Source organism: Homo sapiens, chromosome 20 (assembly GCF_000001405.40).
Source record: "Homo sapiens chromosome 20, GRCh38.p14 Primary Assembly".
Classification (NCBI taxonomy): Eukaryota; Metazoa; Chordata; class Mammalia; order Primates; family Hominidae; genus Homo; species Homo sapiens.
Window position 1 is genome coordinate 44229276 of NC_000020.11, and position 23893 is coordinate 44253168.

Sequence of the window (23893 nt, forward strand, 5' to 3'; positions counted from 1 at the left end):
AGACACCTGAGCATTGCTGACGTGGAGAGATGGCAGTAATCGGGAGGGGAGGAGAGGACATAAGGAGATGGGCCTGAGTTCTCAGCCTGCCCTGCTGCCCATCCTGGGCAGATAAATCACTGGACCTCTTGGGCCTCAGCTTCCTCATTAACTGGTTATTGGAAGCATTCACCCTTTTTCAATCTGAAGTTTCCTCAAAAACACTGCCAATTAGAGAAAGCTGGCTAAAATGAACTAGAGATTTAAAGTAGAGTTTAGAGTAAGTCCAGCTCCTGTCTCTTATTCAAAAGTAACCAATGCTCAGAATAGGAAGGAAAAAAAAGAAATACAGCCAAGCAAAAAGTAGCTCCTAAAGAACACCCATGATTCCACCCACCCAAAGGCCGTGGCATCCTGGTGGAAGCCTTCTAGATACGTGGTTCTTTTCCTTTTGTTTTATTGAAATGTAGTCTCACTCTGTCACCTAGGCTGGAGTGCTGTGGTGAAATCTGGGCTCACTACAACCGCCGCCTCTCCTGTTCAAGCAATTCTCCTGCCTCAGCCTCCTGGGTAGCTGGGATTACAGGAGCCCCCGACCATATCCGGCTAATTTTTTGTATTTTTAGTAGAAATGGAGTGTCACCATGTTGGCCAGGTTGGTCTCGAACTCCTGACCTCAAGTGATCTGCCGGCCTCGGCCTCCCAAGGTGCTGGAATTACAGGCGTGAGTCACAACACTTGGTCAATATGTGATTCTTAACCCGGATTAGTAGCCTGCTTTTGGGGAAGGGAGCCCCTGAATTCACTAAAGTTGTGTGTTTGGGTTCAAGTTTCTACCTCTCATTCAATTCACAGAGAGGTTCTTGACTCATTGAAACAAGAACCAGTGTTTTAAGTATTTTCTTTGCATACATATCAAAAATACCTTTAATGAGATCTGACCACACAGGCTATTTTGCAATTTGCTGTTGTCCCTTACTAATATACTGAGCTTAATTTAACAAACCGTCTTTTGTGGGCCCTTTAGGATATTCTAGTTGTGTTGCTGTTACAACGAGTGCAGTGCACATATAAGTTGGGTGAAGAAGAATTAGAGCATAAAGAGAAATCAAGGAAAAAAAAACCATAAAATTTGAACAGCTGACAAAAGTGCTCAAAAGGGCACGAAAGGATGTCAAATTATCCTACAGTGATAAAAATTATCAATAAGAAACACGCAAGGGGCCGGGTGCAGTGGCTCATGCCTGTAATCCCAGCACTTCGGGAGGCTGAGGTGGGCGGATCACCTGAAGTCAGGAGTTCGAGACCAGCCTGGCCAACACGGTGAAACCCTGTCTCTATTAAAAATATAAAAATGTGGCAGGTGTGGCGGACGCCTGTAATCCCAGCTACTGGGGAGGCTATGGCAGGAGAGTTGCTTGAACCTAGGAGGCAAAGGTTACAGTGAGCCGAGATCCCGGCATTGCACTCCAGCCTGGGTGACAAGAGAGAAACTCTGTCTCAAAAAAAAAAAAAAAAAACACAAGGGGCCGGGAGTGGTGGCTCACGCCTGTAATCCCAGCACTTTGGGAGGCTGAGGCAGGCAGATCACTTGAGGTCAGGAGTTCGAGACCAGCCTGGCCAACATGGTGAAACCCTGTCTCTACTAAAAATACAAAAAGTCAGGTATGGTGGCATGCACCTGTAGTCCCAGCTACTTGGGAGGTTGAGGCGGGAGAATCACTTGAACCCAGGAGGCAGAGGTTGCAGTCAACTGAGATCACGCCGCTGCACTCCAGCCCGGGCAACAGAATGAGACTGTCTCAAAATAAAAACAAACAAGGGACTAATATTTTCAACCAATTATATTGAAGTCAACAAATATTTATTGGGCAGATGCTATGAATATTATCTGCCGGACCCTCTGCCAGGTGCTGCAGACTCAACAGGTAGCCGCCACTGACCTTACTGAGCTTACAAACTAGCAGAGACCAACATGGAAGTTATTTCACACTCAGACAGTTTGTGTTTAACCAAACTGCCTTCATGCCCCATGACCTTGGCCACAGCTCTCTCATTATGGAAACTGTCAGGAGGTCTGGGCATAGGCGCGGTTTGATGAATCAACGTTGGCAGGGAGAGACACAGAGGAATCCTGAATCATCTCGCTCCCCATGCTCTTCTCGCGCCATGACCCGGCCTCCCTGCCTTTGGGGAGGCTGCATGTTCCAGCCCTGAGTGGAGGCCCCCTCCAAGCTCACACCCAACCCACAGGTTCTCCCTGAAAGAAGGTCATTCAACCCCTGCATGTTCTTTTCAGAAACAGGATGTTCACTGCCCTCTGCCTCAGCCCCTTCCTGCTTGTTTGAACCTTTTCCTTATATTGAACTGCAACAGCGCTCCCTATAACTTCCTCTGATTGGTCCCAGAACCTCACAGAACAAGTCTGTCATTTTCTCCAACCTGCAGATCTAAAGACCTTTAGATCTTCCTTGGGTGAAGCATGCAATCCCATAGTCTGCTCCTTGAGTGGATGCCGAGGGTCTGTGATGCCCTTCCCTGGCAGGAAGGGCCTGCAAACCCCTGCTGATTCACCAAACTGCACATGCCCAGACCTTCTGACAGGGTATTCATGAGCAGATGGCCACAGCAGGGGGCAGCAAGGGCCAGACACTTGGGGGCCAGCTATGCTGATGACACTGAAAAAACTTTCGCAGCTTCAAGAGCTGGGTGGGGAAGGACGAGAAGATGGGCCAGCCCTGATTGGAGGACCTAATCGGCTGTCCTCCCAAAAGGAGCCTGTGTGCCTTACAGCAGAGCTTCTCACAATTAAAGTGCATGCCAATCTCCTGGAAGTCTGCTAAACTGTGGGCTTAGGGTAGGGCCTGAGACTCTGCATTTCTTACAAGCTCCCAGTGCTGTGCTGATGCTTTAGACTATGCTTTGAGTAGCAAGACCCTGGGGCAGAGGGGAGGATCACAGTCCTCTATGAGAGCTTTAAAAATAGGGAAAGCGGCTGGGCACGGTGGGTCATGCCTATAATCCCAGCACTTTGGGAGGCTGAGGCGGGCAAATGACCTGAGGTCAGGAGTTCAAGACTAGCCTGGCCAACACGGTGAAACCCTATCTCTACTAAAAATACAAAAATTAGCTGGGCGTGGTGGTGGGTGCCTGTAGTCCCATCTACATGGGAGCCTGAGAGAGGAGAATCGCTTGAACCCAGGAGGCAGAGGTTGCAGAGAACCAAGATCATGCCACTGCACTCCAGCCTGGCGACACAGCAAGACTCTGTCTCAAAAATAAGTAAATAGGCTGGGCGCCTAATTATTTATTTATATTTATATATTTTTTATATTTATATTTTTTAAATAAATTTATTTTTATAAATTTATTTTATAAATAAATAGGCTGTGCACCTATTTATTTTTATTTATATATATTTTTTATTTATATTTTATTTATATTTATATTTATATTTATTATTTATTTATTTTATTACAGGCTCTCGCCTGTAGTCCCAACACTTTGGGAAGCCAAGGCGGGTGGATCACTTGAGGTCAGGAGTTTGAGACCAACCTGGCTAACATGGTGAAACCCTGTCTCTACTAAAAATACAAAAATTAACTGGTTGTTGTGGCAGGCATAAGCCCAGCTACTCGGGAAGGCTGAGGCAGGAGAATCACTTAAACCCGAGAGGCAGAGGTTGCAGTGAGCTAAGATCATGCCACTGCACTCCAGTCTTGGCAACAGAGTGAGACTCCATCTTAAAAATAAATAATAAATAAATAAATAAATAAATAAATGTGGATTCCCAGGCCATACCATAAACCAATTAAATCAGAATCTCTAGGGCTGGATTCCTGGCATTGCTACTTTATAAAAGGCCTTAGTTAGTTCTAATGTGCACACAGGGTAAAAAATCAGTGATTGACACCCCTCCACTCCCCGCCACCTTCTCTTTCACTGCTTCAGCTTGAAATCTCTACTGGGTGAGACTGATGACCAGCCCAGTTTGGTTTGGAGCAGAAGCAGTGGTTTTCAGGATCACCTGGGAGCTTTATAAAATGTCCATGTCAGGGCTCCTGCCCCAGACCAACTGAATCAGAATTGCTAGGTGTCAGGGCCAAGAGATTCTTGTTTCACAAAGCTACCCAGATGGTGCTAAGGTTCAGCCACCAGTGTAGAGCCTAATATAAGAACCATCTAGGATTACCACATTCTTCCGCTGAACATTCAGATTCAAAGTCTGGGGTGAGGACCAGGAACCTGTATGTTTAACAAGTGCCATAGGTGATTCTCATGAGATGCAAGGTTGAGAAACACAGATGGAGGAAAGATCCCTGGATTGGAGTCAGTAAGACAGGGCTCCTGGCTGTGTGACTTCTCACAGGTCACTTACCCTCTCTGAGATTCATGTCTTCATCTGTAAAATAGAGATGATGATAATAACTGCGTGAGGCAGAGATGGATCTCTGCCCCCAGAGACCTGTGTTCTCAGTCCATAGGACGCAGTAGGTGTTGGAAAGAGGCTGCCACTCACCAGGGACTGCATTTCCCAGCTCCACTTTGCATTGAGGTGGGGCGACCACATGACTGAGTTGTGGCCAATGAATGTGGGCAGAAGTGAGGAATGCTGCTGCCCATAAAACCCCCATGATCCGCCACTCTCTCTGCCCATCTGCCCATTGGATATCAATGCCTGGGGTAGCTTCAAAGCCCCAAGGGAAAGTTGATAGAACTCTTTGTTCCTCCCCACACCGCTGCCAACTGGACTTTATATGAGTGAAAAATAAACGTCCATGTGTTTAGCTACTGTGACTTGTATCTGTTAAAGTAATGAGTGCTATGTTACCAAACATACTGCCTCTGGGAGTGTGGCAAAAATTAAATGCTCTAATGCAGAGGTTGCAAACAGACAAGGTGTGGGCTTGGATCCACCCTGTAGATATGTTCTGTTATGCCTGCCCCAGTGTTCTTTTTTATATAAATTTATCAATAAATTTTTATTTTTATTTTTTATGAGATGGAGTCTTGCTCTGTTGCCCAGGCTGGAGTGCAGTGGCGCCATCTTGGCTCACTGCAACCTCTGCCTCCCAGGTTAAAGCGATTCTCCTGCCTCAGCCTCCCAAGTAGCTGGGATTACAGCCGCACAGCACCATGCCCAGCTAATTTTGTATTAAGAGATGGGGCTTCGTCATATTGGCCAGGCTTGTCTCGAACTCCTGACCTCAGGTGATCCACCTGCCTTGGTCTCCCAAAGTGCTGGGATTACAGGCGGGAGCCACTGCACCCAGTCGAATTTATTAATACATTTTTAAATGAGCAAATTCACACAAACCTCTGGATTTCCAGGTTCGTGAAAACCCAGAATCGCTGGCACCTGGGTTTGCATTCCAGTGGCTGGACGAGGAGCGGCTGTCCTGTTGAGCGGAACTTGTGCTCCCCAGTTTGCCACAGTCTCCACCACACAGCATTGCTTTATGCCTGGCTTGCCTCACATTCATGACACTTCTCCCATATGCCTACAGCTTCTCGAGTCAGTGAACCCTGATGCAATAGATGTAGAAGTTACGCGTTAGCTGTTAAGATTTTTCACAGCAAAATTCAAGTGACTTCTTGCTCTCAGGAAAGCCATTCTTGCCCAGAATTTGGAAGCAAAATCTTCTGGGTACTCCTTACGGGCTGAAAGATGTTCCCCACCCCGACCCTACCCATATCTGTGGCCATTTCAGCATCCGCTACATGGAGGCAGAGGTAAGAGATGGGACAAGCTCAACTGGATTTGGGGGTCAGATAGACCTGGGTCCCAACGCCAGCTATGCTTGCTTCCTAGCTGGGGATTTGGGGCCAGGCATTTCTTGTTTTCTTTCTTTCTCTCTCTCTTTTTTTCTTGCTCACTTTTCTCTCTCTCTTTCTTTCTTGCTCACTTTTCTCTCTCTCTCTCTATCTCTCGCTCTTTCTTTTTTTTGAGATGCAGTTTCTCTCTTGTCACCCAGGCTGGAGTGCGATGGCACAATCTCAGCTCACTGCAACCTCTGCCTCCCAGGTTCAAGCAATTCTTCTGCCTCAGCCTCCCAAGTAGCTGGGATTACAGGCACCCACAACCATGCCCAGCTAATTTTTGTATTTTTAGTAGAGACGGGGTTTCACCATGTTGGTCAGGCTGGCCTCGACCTCCTGACCTCCGGTGATTCGCCCGCCTCGGCCTCCCAAAGTGCTGGGATTACAGGTGTGAGCCACAGCCCTGGTCAGCATTTACTGTTTTCTGAGTTGCTGTTTCCATCTGTCAAATGTGGACATTAATGCCCTTTCCATGAGATTTTGGTAACAGGTCTAGCTCAGAAGGACACTCAGACGATGTGAATTCCCTTCCCTTTTCCTGCAGTGTGAGGACCAGGATTGGCTTGCCCTCAGTGGTCACGGGGAAATCAAGCAATATCTTTTTTTTTTTCCTAAACAACTTTGATTTAAAAAATTAAAAAAATATATGGAATAATGCATGTCTACAATAGGTATATTAGTCAGCTTGGGCTGCCATAACAAAATATCACACCCCAGGTGGCTTACACATCAGAAACTAAATGAAAGAAGTAGACCAAAAAAAAAAAAAAATCAGAAACTCATTTTCTCATAGTTGTGGAAGCTGCAAGTCCAAGATCAAGGTGCCAGCAGGGTTGGTTTCTGTTGAGGCCTCCCTTGCTGACTTGCAGACGGCAACCGTCTCACTGTGTCCTCACAGGGCCTTTCTTCTGTGAGCACTCCTGTGTCTCTTCCTCTTAGAAGAACAAGAGTCTTGTTGAATTAGGGCTTTGCCCTTATGACCTAATCTAACCTTTATTGTGTCCTCAAAGGCCCTATTTTCATATATAACCACATTAGGGATTACTTCATCATATCAATTTTCGGATGCACAATTAAGTCCATAACAGAAGGAAAATCAGAAACTCCAATTAAGAAAAATAAACAACAGGCCAGGTGCAGTGGCTCATGCCTGTAATCCCAGCACTTTGGGAGGCCAAGGAGGGTGGGTCATTTGAGGTCAGGAGTTCAAGACCAGCCTGGCCAACATGGTGAAACTCTGTCTCTACTAAAAATACAAAAATTAGCCAGGTGTGGTGACACGTGCTTGTAATCCCAGCTACTTGGGAGACTGAGGCAGGAGAATTGCTTGAACCCAGGAGGTGGAGGTTGCAGTGAGCCGAGATTGTGCCACTGTACTCCAGGCTGGGTGACAGAATAAGACTCCATTCAAAAAAAAAAAAAGAAAGAAAAATAAACAACAACAAAAAAGCCCACTCATGATCTCTTCTTACCCTTGTCTCCAATCTCAATATAACCACATGACTACTATTAGACTTTTATTGACTGCCCTTCTACAATTTATATGTCTTAAAAAATTGAATTGTACATACTTTTTTGGTAACCCTTTTTTTTCCTCTTTACATTTTAAAGATTGTAATAACCTAAGCTAAATAGAATTTTTAAAACACCTTACATAATCAATACCTGTTCTTAAAATTTAAACGTATCATGAAATCCTTCCTTATATTTAGTGGATATAAATTATTCCATGGCCAGGCATGATGACTCACACCTATAATCTCAACAATTTGGGACACCTAGATGGGCAGATTGCTTGAGCTCAGGAGTTCAAGACCAGCCTGGGCAACATGATGAAACCCCATCTCTATGAAAAGTACAAAAGTTAGCTGGGCATGGTGGCACAAGACTGTTGTCCCAGCTACTCAGGAGGCTGAAGTGGGAGGATCACCTGAGCTCGTGGAGGTCGAGGCTGTAGTGAGCCATGATTGCATCACTGCACTCCAGCCTGGGCAACAGAGTGAGACCCTGTCTCAATCAATCAATTCATCCAACCATGTTATAGATATACTCTAATTTTTAAATCAAATCCCCTATTGTCTGGACACTTCAAAGTCCATTTTCTATGGACTTAGTGTTCATTAGCTCTTGACTTTAGGCTACTAATATTCATATCCAGATGAGTGTCAGTTTCCCGATGTATATTATAAGGATGATAACAATATCTATCTCAATTACAATAACGTCTATAAAGTGCTTAGCACACTGTCTGACACATGGAAACCCTCATGACTGTTATTATGATTATTATAAATCTGTAGAACCTTGTATACCTAGCCAATGGTTTCTATATGATAAATTCGTAAAAGGTAAGTATATTTGACAGATTTTTGTTAAATTTCACCAAATTTTCTTCCTGAGAGGCTAGGCAAATCCACAATCTGTTATCTGGAATGAATTTTTGAATTTGGCTTTTGTGAGATTTTAGAAAGGTAATGTAGTACTATACTATATATTATGTGAAATTCCCAGTGGGGGCTGGGGCAGCACCTCATAATCAAATACATTAATGTTTCTTTAGAGAGAGATAAATAAAGATCATAGTCTCATATCAGTTCAGTGCAGATGTTGTCACTAAATGAGTTTGTCTTTTTTTTTTTTTTTTTTTTTTTTTGAGACGGAGTCTCGCTCTGTCGCCCAGGCTGGAGTGCAGTGGCGCGATCTCGGCTCACTGCAAGCTCCGCCTCCCGGGTTCACGCCATTCTCCTGCCTCAGCCTCCCGCGCAGCTGGGACTACAGGCGCCCGCCACCACGCCCGGCTAATTTTTTTGTGTTTTTTAGTAGATACGGGGTTTCACTGTGTTAGCCAGGATGGTCTCGATCTCCTGACCTCGTGATCCGCCCGCCTTGGCCTCCCAAAGTGCTGGGATTACAGGCGTGAGCCACCACGCCCGGCCATGAGCTTGTCTTAAACTTGTAACTTGTAGTTGGGATAGAGAGAGAAAACTTTTGATTTTATAACGTTGGACTTTAAAATTGCAGTCAGGGAATTATTGACTTTCATAATTGGCAAGTTTAGTAGGCTGGAGCGGTAGGGTTACTTAAGATAGCAACTCAGTTATTTCATCCAGAGGCCATTTGCTTCCACCTCAGTACCCTGTCACTTGGTGTCCGCTTCATTCAAGTCTGGTTCCCCTCAAGAATGGCTGCCGGGAACAGTGGAGGCTACAGGCTTCCTGGCTGATGTCTAGCAGCCACATCCCATGGCCCGGCGCAGTGGCTCATGCCTGTAATCCCAGCACTTTGGGAGGCCAAGGTGGGCAGATCACCTGAGGTCAGGAGTTCAAAACCAGCCTGGCCAACATGGTGTAACACCGTCTCTACTAAAAATACAAAAGTTAGCCAGGTGTGGTGGTGCATGCCTGTAATCCCAGACACTTGGAGACTGAGGCAGGAGAAACACTTGAACCCAGGAGGCGGAGGTTGCAGTGAGTCAAGATCACACCTCTGCACTCTAACCTGGGCAACAGAGTGAGACTCTGTCTCAAAAAAAAAAAAAAAAAAAAAAAAAAAGAGCAGACACATCCCACAAGCACTGCACAAAAACCTGAGCTTTGCATTAACAGGACCACCAGCGAAATGCTCTGGGCTGACTGGCTCACGTATTAGAAACAATCACTGGAACAAGGGAGGATGGGATCAACCTGATTGGCTTTGACCACTGGGACAGGAGTCAAGGTAAGCTCCACCCCACTCCCTTGGCAGCAAGGCAGCAACATGATGGGGTGGGGTGAGGGGAGGTAGATGTATGTAGAATAGATGTTGGACAGATAACCACAGTGTCCACTGCAGATTTTAGTATGAATTGCTTGTTTCTAATTTTCATTACTACTTATTGATTTGTAGGAGCTCTTTATATATGATGAATATTATGCCTTGATATGGTTTGGCTGTGTCCCCACCCAACTCTCTTCTTGAATTGTAGCTCCCATAATCCCTACATGTTGTGGGAGGAACCTGGTGGGAGGTCATTGAATCATGGGGGCGGGTTTTCATGTGCTGTTCTCATGATAATGAATAAGGCTCATGAGATCTGATGGTTTTATAAAGGGCAGTTCCCCTGCACACACTCTCTTGCCTGCTGCCAAGAGAGTACATGTAAGACATGTCCTTGCTCCTCCTTCACCTTCCACTGTGATTGTGAGGCCTCCTCAGCCATTAAACCTCTTTTTCTTTGTAAATTATCCAGTCTCAGGTATTTCTTCATAGCAGTATGGAAATGGACTAATACATATTTTTATGTAAATTGTGAATATTTCTCCCAGTCTATTGCTTATCCTTTAACTTTATTTTATAATTTTTGTGGTACAAAATTTTTTAAGCTTTGTGTATCAAATCTGTCAGCCCTTCCCCTACTCTTTTAGTCCAAGCAGGATTTGAAGTGTTTTGGGGCGGAAGGGAAAATGATGGGGAGCAGCAGTGCCCTTCAAGACCTTGGAAATAATGTCACCTCTCGGAATTAAAATGACACCCAGTGAATGCAATTAGTGTTCTGGAAAAGAGAATTGAGAGACTGTGTAAAAGTGTGGAACGGAGACTTTAGGGTCACAGCAAACTTCCGTCAGGCTGAGCAGAGGTCATCACCAGGCGCAGGCCAGGGGGCATTCATTGATTGACTTGTTTATTTAATACTGGACACCTACTCTGTGTCAGGCTCTGGGCCGGGAGCTGAAGGCAGAGGTGAACATTACCAAGTCCTTACTCTTATGGAGCTTATATCCCTATCAGAGAGATAAATAATAACTGCATGGCAGGCCAGGTGTGGTGGCTCACATTTGTAATTCCAGCACTTTGTGAGGCTGAGGCAGGTGGATCCCTTGAGGTCAGGAGTTTGCGACCAGCCTGACCAACATGGGGAAACCCCATCTTTACTGAAAATACAAAATTAGCCAGGGGAGGTGGCGCACACCTGTAATCCCAGCTATTTGGGAGGCTGAGGCAGGAGAATCGTTTGATCCTGGGAGGCGGAGGTTGCAGTGAGCCGATATCAAGCCATTGCGCTCCAGCCTGGGTGACAAGAGTGAAGCTCCATCTCAAAACAAACAAACAAAAAAACAAACAAAAAAACCCTGCATGCAGACCCCCTGTTGGTAAGTGCTATGGAGAAAAACAAAGTCATATAAAGGAGTGCTGGGTCAGAGTAGCTACCTCTTTTACATGGGCAGTCAGGAAAGGTTTAGCTAATCCTAAGGTGGCATTCACATGAGCAGAGATATGAAGGTGGTGAGGGAGAGAGCTTGGGGAAAAAAAAAAGAAGAAGAGCATGGCAGGCAGTGGGAACAGCAAGTGAAGAGACCCTCAGCAAAGTTCGGGGCGGCACCCTCTGCCTCTAGGGAAGAGTCAGGAGGCCAATGGGCTGGGGCAGCAGGCAAGGGAGGGCAGAAAGAGATGGGGAGGTGTGATGGGGACCAGACGGGGCCAGATCAGGACCAGACGGGGCCAGATCGGGCAGCACCTTTAAGTCATTAGGACTTCAGCTTTCCTCTGTGTGAGATAAGACACCACTGGAGGATTGACTGTGAGTCACTAAACACCCCTGAGATCTTTGTATTAAACCCTGCCTGGAGAAAGACAGGAGACAGAGACAGTCAGTAAAAAAACTTGGAAAGGCGGCCCCAGAGAGCCAGAAGTCAGCCATGTGTCCTAGCCATGTTCAGGGAGGAGAGACACTGGCTGGGAAATCCCAGAATGGGCCAACTGAACCATCCATCCCCACATCAAGGTGATAACAGTATCCACCTTATTGAGATAATGACAGTGTGGTGCTTAGCGAGGTATTGAGCACATGGAACATCCTCCTGGCTGTTTTATGTCATGATAACATATGATCATATGTGTAATCAGACATTTTTAGTATACAGTCTGCCAGTATAGCTCTGGGTGAGATGTTCCTCAGGCACCCCATCTCATTGTGCCCTGGGTTCACATTCAATGGCAACCACTTGGTGGCTGAGTCCATTACTTACAGAAGGAGGGGAGGAGTAGTCCCACCCTGTGAGGAATACATACTTCAGGCCTTTTCGGATTTCTGACACCCAAACTGGACAATAATTTCACCACTTAAAACTCTCTAGGGGGCCGGGCATGGTGGCTGACACCTGTAATCCCAGCACTTTGGGAGGCCGAGACAGGTGGATCACCTGAGGTCAGGAGTTCAAGACCAGCCTGGCCAACATGGTGAAACCCCATCTCTACTAAAAATACAAAATTAGCCAGGCATGGTGGAGCATGCCTGTAATCCCAGCTATTCGTAGGTTGAGGCAGGAGCATTGCTTGAACCCAGGAGGTGGAGGTTGCAGTGAACCGAGATGGCACCATTGCACTCCAGCCTGGGCGACAGAGCGAGACTCCATCTCAAAAACAAAACAAAAACAAAACAAAAAACAAAACAAAACAAAACACTCTTCAGGGACTCCCCAGTGCCCTCGGCACAATGTGATGACTCCTGCAGGTGGCCTAAGTGGCCTGACAGTACCATTCAGCCTCATGTCTCCACTTTGCCCCCAGCAGATGAGTGGGCATCAGCCGGTCAAGCACTCTACTCTTGTCCCACCTCTGGGCCTGTGTCTCTACCTGGAGCATGCATCCTTTCCACCTTCTTCTCCCCAGCTGGCTATGTCCCCCTCATCCCACAAGCCTCTGCTTCAAGTCCCTGAGCAGATGCTGATGATGACTGCCTGTATGCCCCACTCTTCCCACTCAATGCACATCAGCTGACCCCTAGCTGGCAACACCCATGTTTATTGCCCGAGGGCTTTCTGTGCCACTGGGACCCACTCTGCCAACTGCAGGGCAGGCCTGAAGTGCCAGGGAATTAAAACTTCTCTCAAGAAGCAGCCCTCAAACAAAGACTGACAGGACCTGGTGTATAAATACCCCAGCTCTCTCCCTCCTTGGGCAGGGTAATGCTGAGGAACTTCATGCGGCTCTCAGAATTTTCCTTTGGAATTAAGCCCTGGTCACCCACAGTAGTAACTTGATTGGCAATACACCTTCTTTGGCTGTCTTTCCTGTCTTCCCCACTTGCCTCCCAGGATGTCCTTTTTCTCCAAAGTTAATGATGTGCCCTTGAATACTTGTCTCAGGGTCTGCTTGGCAGGAACCCATACTGAAAGCCATTGCCTCTGAAAAGCCTTCCCTGGCATCACCAGTGCTTAGACGGGGGATCCAGATGTCCCCTTCTGGCTCTACCACACCCCTTTCCCATCCCAGTCACAGCACGTATCACACAGTCCTATCACTGTCCAGGTCCCTATGGAAACACAGATGATTCACTAGGAAAGAAGTTAAATTGGCTTTTATTTGTTTGTTTGTTTTGAGACAGGGTCTTACTCCAGTTGTCCAAGCTGGAGTGCAGTAGCGCGATCTCAGCTCACTGCAATCCTCCCATCTCAGCCTCCCGAGTAGCTGGGACTACAGGTGCATGACACAACACCCGGCTAATATTTTGTATTTTTACTAGAAACGGGGTTTTGCCATGTTTCCCAGGCTGGTCTTGAACTCCTGGACTCAAAGAATCCACCCACCTCGGCCTCCAGAAGTGCTGGGATTACAGGTGTGAGCCACCACACCCAGCCTGGTTTTTAAACAGTTAAAGGAATGGTGAACTTCACTCATAATTAATGAAATTCACATAAAGAATGCCAGCTGACAAATGCAAACAAAAGGACAAAATTAGAAAATCACCATTTTCTAACGATAGTAACTGATTCAGTCAAAGACCATCAATGAATGAGGAACTGGACACCCACAAGGTGCTGGTCAGAAGAGGAGAAATGAATATTTACCTAGAGAGGAGTGGTCACCACCTGAACCCCATGATCAAGCTTGGCATTATTAGTAGTAGGACAGTTAGACACCAGGTAAGGTGAAATGGAGCATATAGCACCACTCGTGAAATATAATTACTTTCTCATCCCCAGAATGTTCCACCTAAATCTAATCCATCCATTGGATCTAAATACTAGTTTTGGGGAAATATAGGAGAGAGTACAGGAAGTTAAAGGACACCACAGTGAAGCAACGTGACAGATCCCAGAGAGGAACATTGTCCAAAACAACTGGCCCAGTCTCTTCATGAGTCAATGCCATTGGGAGTCAAAAAAAAAAAAAAAAAGAGTGAGGACCATATTAGATTAAAATAGACTTAAGACTGCAGGAACAAAATCCATTACATGGTCCTTGATTGGATCCTGGTTGAAACTACCTGTAAAGACATTTCTGGCAAAACTGGAGAAATTTGAATATAAATATATTTTTTGAGACAGGGTCTCACTCTGTTGCCCAGGCTGGAGTGCAGTGGTATGATCTCAGCTCACTACAACGTCCATCTCCCAGGCTCAAACGATTCCCCCCGCCTCAACCTCCTGAGTAGCTGGGACTACAGGCACATGCTACCACGCCTGGCTAATTTTTGTATTTTTTGTAGAGATGGGGCTTCACCATGTCACCCAGGGTGGCCTCAAACTCTTGGACTCAAGTGATACACCTGCCTCGGCCTCCCAATGTGCTGGGATTACAGGCATGAGCCACCATGCCTGGCCTTCATATTGCTAATTTCTTAATATGAAAATTGTATTTTATGTAAGAAAATGACCTATGTTAGATACAAATTATGTTGATACTTTATAAATATCTACTACTGATGTATTTAGTTGGAGAAATATCATGATGCCTGTAATTTATTTCAAAATACTTCACTCCCCAATTAAACACATATGGCAAGATTTTCACAATACTTATATCTAGGTGATAGATATATGGATGTTCATTGAGTTACTTTCATATGTTTGAAATTGTTTTGTAATAAGAAGAAAAAAATAAAAGCAAACTAAAGACATACCATTTTCTACCCATAGATTCACAAAGAAAAAGTTTTAAAATAGGCTGCGTTGGCAAGGGTGTAGGGAAATGGGCACTTTGGTACAACCTCTTTGAAGTGATGTTTGGCAAAGCCATGCCCTTCCATCCAGCAATTCCGCTTCTAGGAATTTAGCATACAGAGTATATAGAAATATGGGCAAATATATATAAATAAGGATATTCACTGCAGCTTTATCTTTATTATAAAAGATGAGAAACAACATATATGTCCATCAATAGAAGTTGTTAAGTAAATTTTTTGTGGTCTATTCATGTAGTACAGAGTCCTACAAAGTATAGGGTAGACGTGTTGTGCTGATAGGAAACTCTTTCCAAGATGTCTTGCTAAGTGAACAAGCCGAAGAGCAGGCCAGTGTCTGTCTGTCTGTCTTATTGCTGTATCTCTGGTGCCTAGCAACGCACCTGGCACACAGTGGGTCCACAATTAATATTAGTTGAGGGAACGAACACACATCTGAGCATGACTGCTGTGAGTCAGGCTCCCTAAATGCCACCAGTTTCAAGTCACTGATAGGGGCCAGATTTTCCACCGCCATCAAATTTCCATCCAACAGGATGGGCACTCCTGGTCCAACTGCTGGCATGCAAACCCGGGTGCCAGCTATTCTGGGTTTTCTTGAACCTGGAAATCCAGATATTTGTGTGAAATTGCTCATTTTAAAATTTGTCAATAAAATAACACTGGGTCAGGCATAACAGAACATATCTGCAGGGTGGGTCCAAGCCAACACATTGTCAGTTTGCAACTTCTGCATTAGCGCATTTAATTTTTGCCACACTCCCGGAGGCAGTATGTTCAGTAACATAGCACTTGCTGCTATAACAGATACAAACCTCAGTGGCTTCACACAATAGAAGTTTATTTTTCACTCATATAAAGTCCAGCTGGCAGCAGGTGTGGGGAGGAACAAGGAGTTTTATCAACCTTCCCTTGGGGCTTTCAAGTTCCTCCAGGCATTGATATTCAATAGGCGGATGGGAAGAGAGAGTGAAGAATCATGGGGATTTTATGGGCAGCAGCATTCCTCACTTCTGCCCACATTCATTGGCCACAAGTCAGTCATGTTGTCACCTCACCTCAATGCAAAGTGGAGCAGTCCCTGGTGAGTGGCAGCCACTTTCCAGCAACTACTGTGTCCTATGGACTGAGAACACAGATCTCTGGGTGACAGTGATCCATCTCTGCCTCATGCAGTTATCATTATCTCTATTTCACAGATGATGAGCCGAATCTCAGGGAGGGTAAGTGACCTGTGAGAAGTCACACAGCCAGGAGCCCTATCTTACTGCCTCCAATCCAGGGATCTTTCCTCTAGCTCAGTGTTTCCCAGCTGTGTTAGACCATTCTCACATTGTGATAAAGAAATACCCGAGACTGGGTAATTTATAAAGAAAAGAGGTTTAACTGGGTAATTTATAAAGAAAAGAGGTTTAATTGGCTCGTGGTTCTGCAGGCTGTACAGGAAGCATGGCACTGGCACCTGCTTGGCTTCTGGTGAGGCCTCAGAAAGCTTCCAATCACGGTGGAAGGCAAAGGGGAAGCTGGCATATCACATGGTGAGAAAGGAAGCAAGACAGAGTAGGGGAAGATGTGCCACATACTTATTTATTTATTTATTTATTTTTGCTTTCTTAATCTGTTCCTGACCACATACTTTTAAACAACCAGATCTCACAAGAACTCACTGACTATTGCAAGGACAGCACCAAGCCAAGAGGGGTCCACCCCCATGATCCAATCACCTCCTACCAGGCCCCACCTCCAGCACTGGGGACTACATTTCAACATGAAATTTGGTGGAGACACAGATGCAAACAGTATCACCAACCTTGCATCTCATGAGAATCACCTATGGCACTTGTTAAACCTACCAGATTGTGACCCTGGGAGCATACAGGATTGAATTTTCCTTCAAGACATACCATGCCCTTTTTTGCAAAATTGAACAGTGAACAACATCAAAAATTTCACAAGAGTGACAAAAAAAGTATGCTGAACCAGGGAGGCTAATGTAGCAACTGAGACTTGATAGAAAATGTAGCTACAGGCTTTGTGGCAGCCAAGGCAAAAAGGGAAACCCAGGGACCACAGAGCATCTGTTATCTGGTAGAAGGAGGTTCACCGGTTCCTTATGAGCCAGGCTTACAGCCTGGGGGATGAGGTACCCAGGAGTCCTTAGCAGCATGATGGATGGGGGTGGGCGGTCGGGGGTGAGAGGGAGGACTGAGCTTATCTTCCTAGTACATCTATTTGCATCTGTTGTCCCAGGGTCTGCTTCTGTATTTCCTCAATGGTAAATAAATTAAAACACAGTATTTATAGTAACGGAAGTATAGGTGTATTAAGGAACTTTGCTGAAGTTCTTATGTATGTTTAGGGCAGACTTTGTGACAGCAAAGGCATTATGGGCTTTCTTTGGGCTCATCTGGTTGTGCCTTGGTAGAAGATGCAACCTTGAACAAATGACTTGACATTTCTGAGCCTCGCCTTCCTCATCCGTGAAAAATGATTATTGTGCAGATGAAATGAGATGATGCATGTAAGGGGCTCAGGTTGATAAATGGTTGCTGTGCCATTGTTTATATTCTTACCATATTATCATGACCTTATGGCTAGGAGCACAGACTCTGGAGCCAGACTGCCTGTGTTCACATCAGCTCCACCACCTACCAGCTCGATGACCTTGGGCAAGGTCACTTAGCCTCTCTGTGCCTCAGTTTCCTTCTCTGTAAAATGAAGCTAATAGGACTATTGTGAGAGCTAAATGGGCTGATAGTTGTAAAGCTCTTAGAACAGTGCCTGGGCATACAGTAAGTGCTATGTAAGTGTCTGTTAAATAAATCATAGTCTGTTCCCTCTGCCCTTCGAGGCCCTTCAGGGGAAAAGTTAGAAGATAACAGCTTCAAAGCGAGACAAGTAATTTCCAGACACTAATTTCTAAAGGAATAGCTCTCTAGAATCCCAGTTAAGAAGTATTTGCCCCTTAGAAGACTGAGAGGCAGGAAAGCGTTGATGAGGGTGGAATCTTTGGCAGGTGCCTGGCCCAATACACTGAGCTGTTTGGGGGGCACGACCCACTTCCTCGGGCTCCTTCCACCCTTGCAGGGAGCCTGACACTGAGGGCTGGCGGCTTTTCTGGCGCGGGCCAGGGGGAGGAGGAGAAAGGAGCTCCCGGGATCCCCTCGCCCCCTCCCCCAACTGCCCGGTGAGTAATGACATTCACGGAGCGGGGAGGGAGGGAGGAGAGGGGCAGGCTCGGCGAGGCCATGTGATGCTGGGCGAGAGAGAGCCGCCGCGCCGGAGCCTCCTTCTTTCCTGCCTCTGATTCCGGGCTGTCATGGCGACCCCCAACAATCTGACCCCCACCAACTGCAGCTGGTGGCCCATCTCCGCGCTGGAGAGCGATGCGGCCAAGCCAGCGGAGGCCCCCGACGCTCCCGAGGCGGCCAGCCCCGCCCATTGGCCCAGGGAGAGCCTGGTTCTGTACCACTGGACCCAGTCCTTCAGCTCGCAGAAGGTAGAGCCGGGCCGGGAGCCGCCTGCGCCGGTGGCCAGGAAGCTTGGGGAGGGGAGCCCCAGGGCTTGAGGGATCTGAGGGCGGCGAAAGACTGGAGGGGGGAACCTGGGGTTTGGGGGTCCCGGAGGTCGGGGGACGCAAGGGTTCCTTCCAGGACTGCTCACCTGGGAAGCGACAGGCCCTGTCTGGGCCCCAGGAGCACAGTTCTCAATTTTAGGAGCATCCATTCTGCCTCTTTCCCTCCCAGAAACAGCCGGTCTGTTGGGGTGCGGGGCGGGTTGGGGGGGCTGAGAAAAGAGACAAAGGCGAGGGGAAGGGAATGGGCACTGCTGGGAAGGCGGCTTGGTGGGGTGGGAGGTGCTGCTGCTGCGGGGAGGGAGAAGAAGCGCTACTTGGGGTCCAGCCTCGGTAGCCCCCTCTCAGTCGCTCCCTGCACGCTGCCGTCCCGGACACTGCAGGCCCCCAGGTCACAGCTCCTCTGCCCCTCTGTCTGCGGGCCGCCTTCTGGCTAGGGCTTGGAGGGTCTGTCCCCAGTCGTCGCCCACCCCCCACTCCGTGTCTTGAGCTGAGAAGGAAGGAGTTAAACCATCCCCTCACACCAGCTCGGCTCAGCCCATCAGGTCTGTTTTGCTCTTAAAGGCACAGAGTGGCCCCAGCCCCTAAAATGCTTCTAGGACCTAGGGGACCTGAGGGGCAGTTGGAAATCCAACTGGATTCTCAGGGTTCCCGCTTCCTGGGGGTAAGGCTGTGAACTGCACCCCTCAGACAGGGGCGCCTCTAGGGGCGCAATCTCCCACCCTGGGCGGTTGTCCCGTCTCTGGGCCACGGATTCAGCACCATGGCCAGGGCCCAGAGGCAGGTCCTGCAGGGGCCTAAGCGGCACCACTGCCTGACCTTCTGACTCCTCTTCTTCCTGGAAGATCCTTTTGTTCCATTCGTTCATTTTCCAGATGGAAAAACAGAATCCATGAAGAGAAAGGGCCTTGGAACTCAAAGACTTAGATTTGAGTCTTGGTCCAGGCTCATTTCATCATCTGGAAAGCGGGATAGTGATACAACAATAGCCACTTCCAATCCCAACCCCTTCTCAGGGTTGCTGATATGGTTGTTGAAGAAGGGATATAACTTAGGAACTTAGTGTTATAGACTGGGACTACTCAAACTTGAGCGTGCATTAGAGTCCCTGGATGATCCTGGTTAAAACCCAGACTGCTGGATTCTACCCCAAGGATCCTGATTCAGTGGGTCTGGAATGGGGTCCAAGATGCTGCCTTTCCAACAAGCGACCAGGTGATGCTGATGAAGCTGGTCCACCAATCATATTGCCCACTGACTCACTGTGGAGCTGTGGACAGGTCCCTTTGCCTGTCCAAAGCCTCAGCTTTATAATCTGTAAAATGGGGTGAATGCAGTAACTTCCTCAGAGGGCTATTATGAGAGTGAAATGTGATATGATGCACAAAAGTACTGATGATGGCAGTGCCTGGCGAGAGGTCAAGACTCTGTTGATAATGAGTGTTATGATTTTTTTTTTTTTTTGAGACAGAGTCTTGCTCTGTTGCCCAGGCTGGAGGGCAGTGGCATGATTTTGGCTCACTGCAACTTCCGCCTCCTGGGTTCAAGTGATTCTCCTGTCTCAGCCTCCTGAGTAGCTGGGACTACAGGCATATGCCACCACACCCGGCTAATTTTTTTATATTTTTGGTAGAGACAGGGTTTCACCATGTTTGCCAGACTTGTCTCAAACTCCTGATCTCAAGTGATCCACTCACTTTGGCCTCCCAAAGTGCTAGTATTACAGGTGTGAGCCACCAGGAGCGGCCGTTATGATGTTATTAAGGCACTAGGTAAAGGAGGGGCCAGAGTTAATCAAGGTCATACTGGAGTCATCCACAAATTCTGCACATGCTTGCACGTGCCAGGCCTCATTCAAGGAGCCTGGGGATGGGGGCTTTGGAGATGAATCAGACTGCCCTTCAGAGTCTAGAACTTCCTCCCCGCTAGAACCTCAGGAAGTGGGCCCCAGCGGCTGGGACCAGACAGGGGGCAGGGAGGTGGCATCTCCCACAACCATATCATGAGGGAGCCTCCTGTTCTTTGCCTCATGAAATATTTCCTATGTAGCGTGAGCTCAGGGCTGAGGTGGCCCCTGAGTCAGGATGAGACCATCTGCTGCAGCCCCACTTTTGACCAAGTCTCTGGCCAAGCTAACCTGGGCATCCTTCTGTCTCCCATACCAGGGCCTTCCCCCTACCCAGGGGCCCATGGTGGATTCTAGAAGCAGTGTAGCTTGGCAGAAAGGGCATGGGCTCTGCAGTCATATAGTCCTGGGTTCTATTCTCGTCTTGGCTACTTACTGGCTGAGTGACCTTGGACAAGTCACTTTACCTCTCTGTGCCTCAATGTCCCTATCTGGAAAAGAGGATTTTACATCCTACCCTGCAGAATTCCTTTAGAAGACATAGGCATATGTTAACTTCCTGGCATGTAGTAGGAGCTTAGCAGATGAGTTTTCTTCCTTCTCTCCAATCCTGAAGGGCCTTAATTATATAAAGAGGGCAGTCCCCCATTGTCAAGCATCTAAATAGCCTGTCTTTAATGGCACATGAAATATGAATGGAAAAAAATAGTCCACCTCTAGGAGTGATGGTGGCTCCATTGGGCATTTGGAGATCATTCCAGACCCAGAGGGCAACAGGACAGTGTGTGGGTCCAGGCCCAGGCTCTATGACCAGACTGCCTGGGCTTCCATCTCAGCTCTACCACTGACCAGCTGGGTAATCCCGTGCAAGCTGCTTAACCTCTCATGCCCCAGTTATATCCACACCTGTAAATTGAGAATATTAATGGTGCCTCCCCAACAGGGTCGTTGTAAGGATTCAGCAAATGTATCCATGTCAATCACCTAGAATAGCACGTGGCACATAGAAAGTGCTCAGTTAAGTGCTGGGTGCTGTTATAAAGGCATGGATTTTGGAATCAGCCAGACATGCGGTCAAACCCCAACTCTGCCATTCCCAGCTATGTGACTTTGTACAAGTGTCTTCTTTGCCTGTCTAAGTCAGCTTTCTCATATATTTGGGGGAGAGGGTTGAGGAGATTGAGTGATATCATGCATGTTCACACACTTAGCACAATGCCTTAAACAATTGCCTGTTAAGAGTGAGCTTTCAAGCACTATCATAGGTCATTGCTTGGGGCCACAGGGTTTGAAGGAGGCTCTAAATGCCTAAGGTCAATGTTAGGATGCTTCTGAGGCTGTTCCTGCCCCCAGCCTCCTCCTCCTTTGTGGGGAAGAATGAGGCCAGGAGGGGCAAAAAAGCATAGAGTCAGGAGACCAAGGTTCTAGTGCTGCCAGTCCCACTAACTGGCTGTGTGACCTGACCCTCTCTGGTCCTCAGTTTTCTCAGCAGGGAAATGAACCAGATGTTTGATACAACGTGCCTCCCTCCTCCTTCACCAGGCAGGAAGAACTGCCCTACCTCTCGGTGCCCGTTGACTTTGGGGCATCCATCTGTCCTCACAACTGCCCCTTTTCAAAAACCAAGACTGCTACTTCCTAGCTGTGTGACTGGGCAAGTTACTTACAATCTCTGTGCCTGCTTCCTTTTCTTAAAAGTGAGGGTACTGGGAGGTACTAGTACCAATTTCATTGGAATTCATAGGGATTAAGATCTAATGCATGTAAAGCTCTACAATAGTGCCTGGCACAGAGGAGGTGATAATAAGAGTTGGCTGTTGTTACTGCTGTTATTTCCACCAGAGTGAGTCTCTGAGGGTCGTCTCTGGCTCCCTGCAGCAAGCCTGGTTCATGGTTCCCTTACTGCCTCCTCTCAGGGTCTGCCCTGTCTTGGATGTACCTCTGGAGGGCCCCTGGCCCAGCCTTCAGATCCCAGGGGCAAGAGACCCAAGTCTGGGGCCTGCCAGAGGCCAGTTCAGACACCCAGGCATGGCAGGAGAGAAGCAAGGGGGTGAAGGATGAGTTCTCTTTCCCACCCTGCCCTTGCCTTTCAAACTCTTAGGGCTGACCCTCCAACTTGTCCATGCTGCACTTGACCGTGTACCGCCTCCCTTCACCTAAGAGGAGCCCCAGAGAGGAAAGCTGATGGGGGCAGCAACGAGATGCATCTCCCTGCTTCTCTGCTCAGAAGCCTGCAGTGGCTCCCCAGGTCCCTCAGGAAAACTCCAGAGTCCTCTCAATGGCCTCAGGCCCTCCTGCAGGGTCCTAACCTTGCTTGAGTCAAGACCTAAGTTGGGGGAAGCTTATGGGCCCTTCTCAGAATAATGTTTTTAATTGAATAAAATAAAATGTATAGGATTTTTAGATTAGAACGAAAACCAATCGTATTGAAGTACGGCGTTATATAATAATATTTATGTTTCTTTATTAACCCCTTATATAACACGGTCTGGTGGCCGGTCTCATAACAACTGTCATGTTGGAGTCGTGATGAGTGCGCATGATATTTTGAGACAACTGCAACAACTGTGAAGTGATGAAAATATCTGATTCCTAGTGGTGACAATATTGCAGGCACTGCTAAACGCTACCCTACTTTATCGCCTACATTCATAATTGAAGAAAATGCTAACTGTCAGTTTGAGATTACTGAAAATAAACATGTAATTTTCCCATCCTAGTTCAAGGAGCCCCTGAATTAATTCATGGACCCCTTGGCCTGGGAGTGTGGATTAAAAGATCCTGTGCACAACCCGGCCAGGCGTGGTGGCTCACACCTGTAATCCCAGCACTGTGGGAGGCCAAGGTGGGTGGATCACCTGAGGTCAGGAGTTTGAGACCAGTCTGGCCAACAGGTGAAACCCTGTCTCTCCTAAAAATACAGGCTGGGCGTGGTGGCTCGCGCCTGTAATCCCAGCACTTTGGGAGGCCAAGGCAGGCGGATCACCTGAAGTTAGGAGGTTGAGACCAGCCTGACCAACATGGTGAAATCCCGTCTCTACTAAAAATACAAAAATTAGCTGGGCGTGGTGGTGTGCACCTGTGATCCCAGCTACTCGGGAGGCTGAGACAAGAGAATCGCTTGAACCTGGGAGGCGGAGGTTGCAGTCAGCCGAGATTGCACCACTGCACTCCAGCTTGGGTAACAAGAGCGAAACTCAAGCTCAAAACAAACAAACAAACAAACAAAAAACAAAAGTTAGCTAGGCATGGTGGTGCATGCCTGTAGTCCCAGCTACTTGGGAGGCTGAGGCAGGAAAATCGATTGAATCCAGGAGATGGAGGTTGCGGTGAGCTGAGATTGCACCATTGAACTCCAGCCTGGACAACTGAGTGAGACCCTGTCTCAAAAAAAAAAAAAAAAAATCCTATGCACAACCCTTTCTGCTCCTACCCTCCTCGTCTATTCCTGACTGCTCTGCTCCAGACACACTGGCTTCCTTGCTATCTTTTGAGTATGTCCAACATGCTTAGAGCCTTAGCACTGGCTGTTCCCTCTGACTGAAGCTCTCTTCCCCAGGTCCCTGTGTGGACCACTTCCTCACTTCTTTCAAGCCTTTGCTCAAGGGCCACCTTCTCGAGAGGCCTGCCCTAATAGACCACCTTAATTAAAATTGCTACCTTTATCCCTGACACCATGGTACCCCGATTCCCCTTCCCTGCTCTATTTTCTCTTTTTTTGGACGCACTCACC

At 47.4% G+C, this 23893-nt stretch overlaps 1 protein-coding gene across 6 annotated transcripts in view, besides 3 other annotated features; it reads left to right on the plus strand.

The window, feature by feature from the left end:
* Positions 2524-3153: an enhancer, noted in NCBI's record as "NANOG-H3K27ac-H3K4me1 hESC enhancer chr20:42860439-42861068 (GRCh37/hg19 assembly coordinates)". NCBI's record gives its function as "activates a minimal SCP1, AML or CMV promoter by ChIP-STARR-seq in naive H9 embryonic stem cells {active_cell/tissue: H9 hESC(naive)}" and the evidence as "EXISTENCE:reporter gene assay evidence [ECO:0000049][PMID:30033119]".
* Positions 17735-18533: an enhancer, noted in NCBI's record as "H3K4me1 hESC enhancer chr20:42875650-42876448 (GRCh37/hg19 assembly coordinates)". NCBI's record gives its function as "activates a minimal SCP1, AML or CMV promoter by ChIP-STARR-seq in primed H9 embryonic stem cells {active_cell/tissue: H9 hESC(primed)}" and the evidence as "EXISTENCE:reporter gene assay evidence [ECO:0000049][PMID:30033119]".
* The window catches only part of GDAP1L1 (ganglioside induced differentiation associated protein 1 like 1), a 33849-nt gene continuing 27779 nt past the window's right edge, over positions 17824-23893 (plus strand). For 5 of the 6 annotated variants that reach the window (NR_046353.3, NM_001256737.2, NM_024034.6 and 2 more), the window contains exon 1: positions 18033-18239. Coding sequence is in view for 4 of the 6 variants with exons in the window: in NM_001256737.2 (NP_001243666.1) it covers positions 18060-18239 (180 nt within the window). In the remaining 2 variants the exon portion in view is untranslated. Of the gene's footprint in view, positions 17928-18032; positions 18240-23893 lie in introns of those variants that run through there. The other variant, NM_001256738.2, reaches the window with a different exon arrangement.
* Positions 18894-19188: a silencer, noted in NCBI's record as "tiled region #13448; HepG2 Repressive DNase unmatched - State 12:CtcfO, and K562 Repressive DNase matched - State 12:CtcfO". NCBI's record gives its function as "represses a minimal TATA promoter and a strong SV40 promoter by Sharpr-MPRA in HepG2 and K562 cells {active_cell/tissue: HepG2 | K562}" and the evidence as "EXISTENCE:reporter gene assay evidence [ECO:0000049][PMID:27701403]".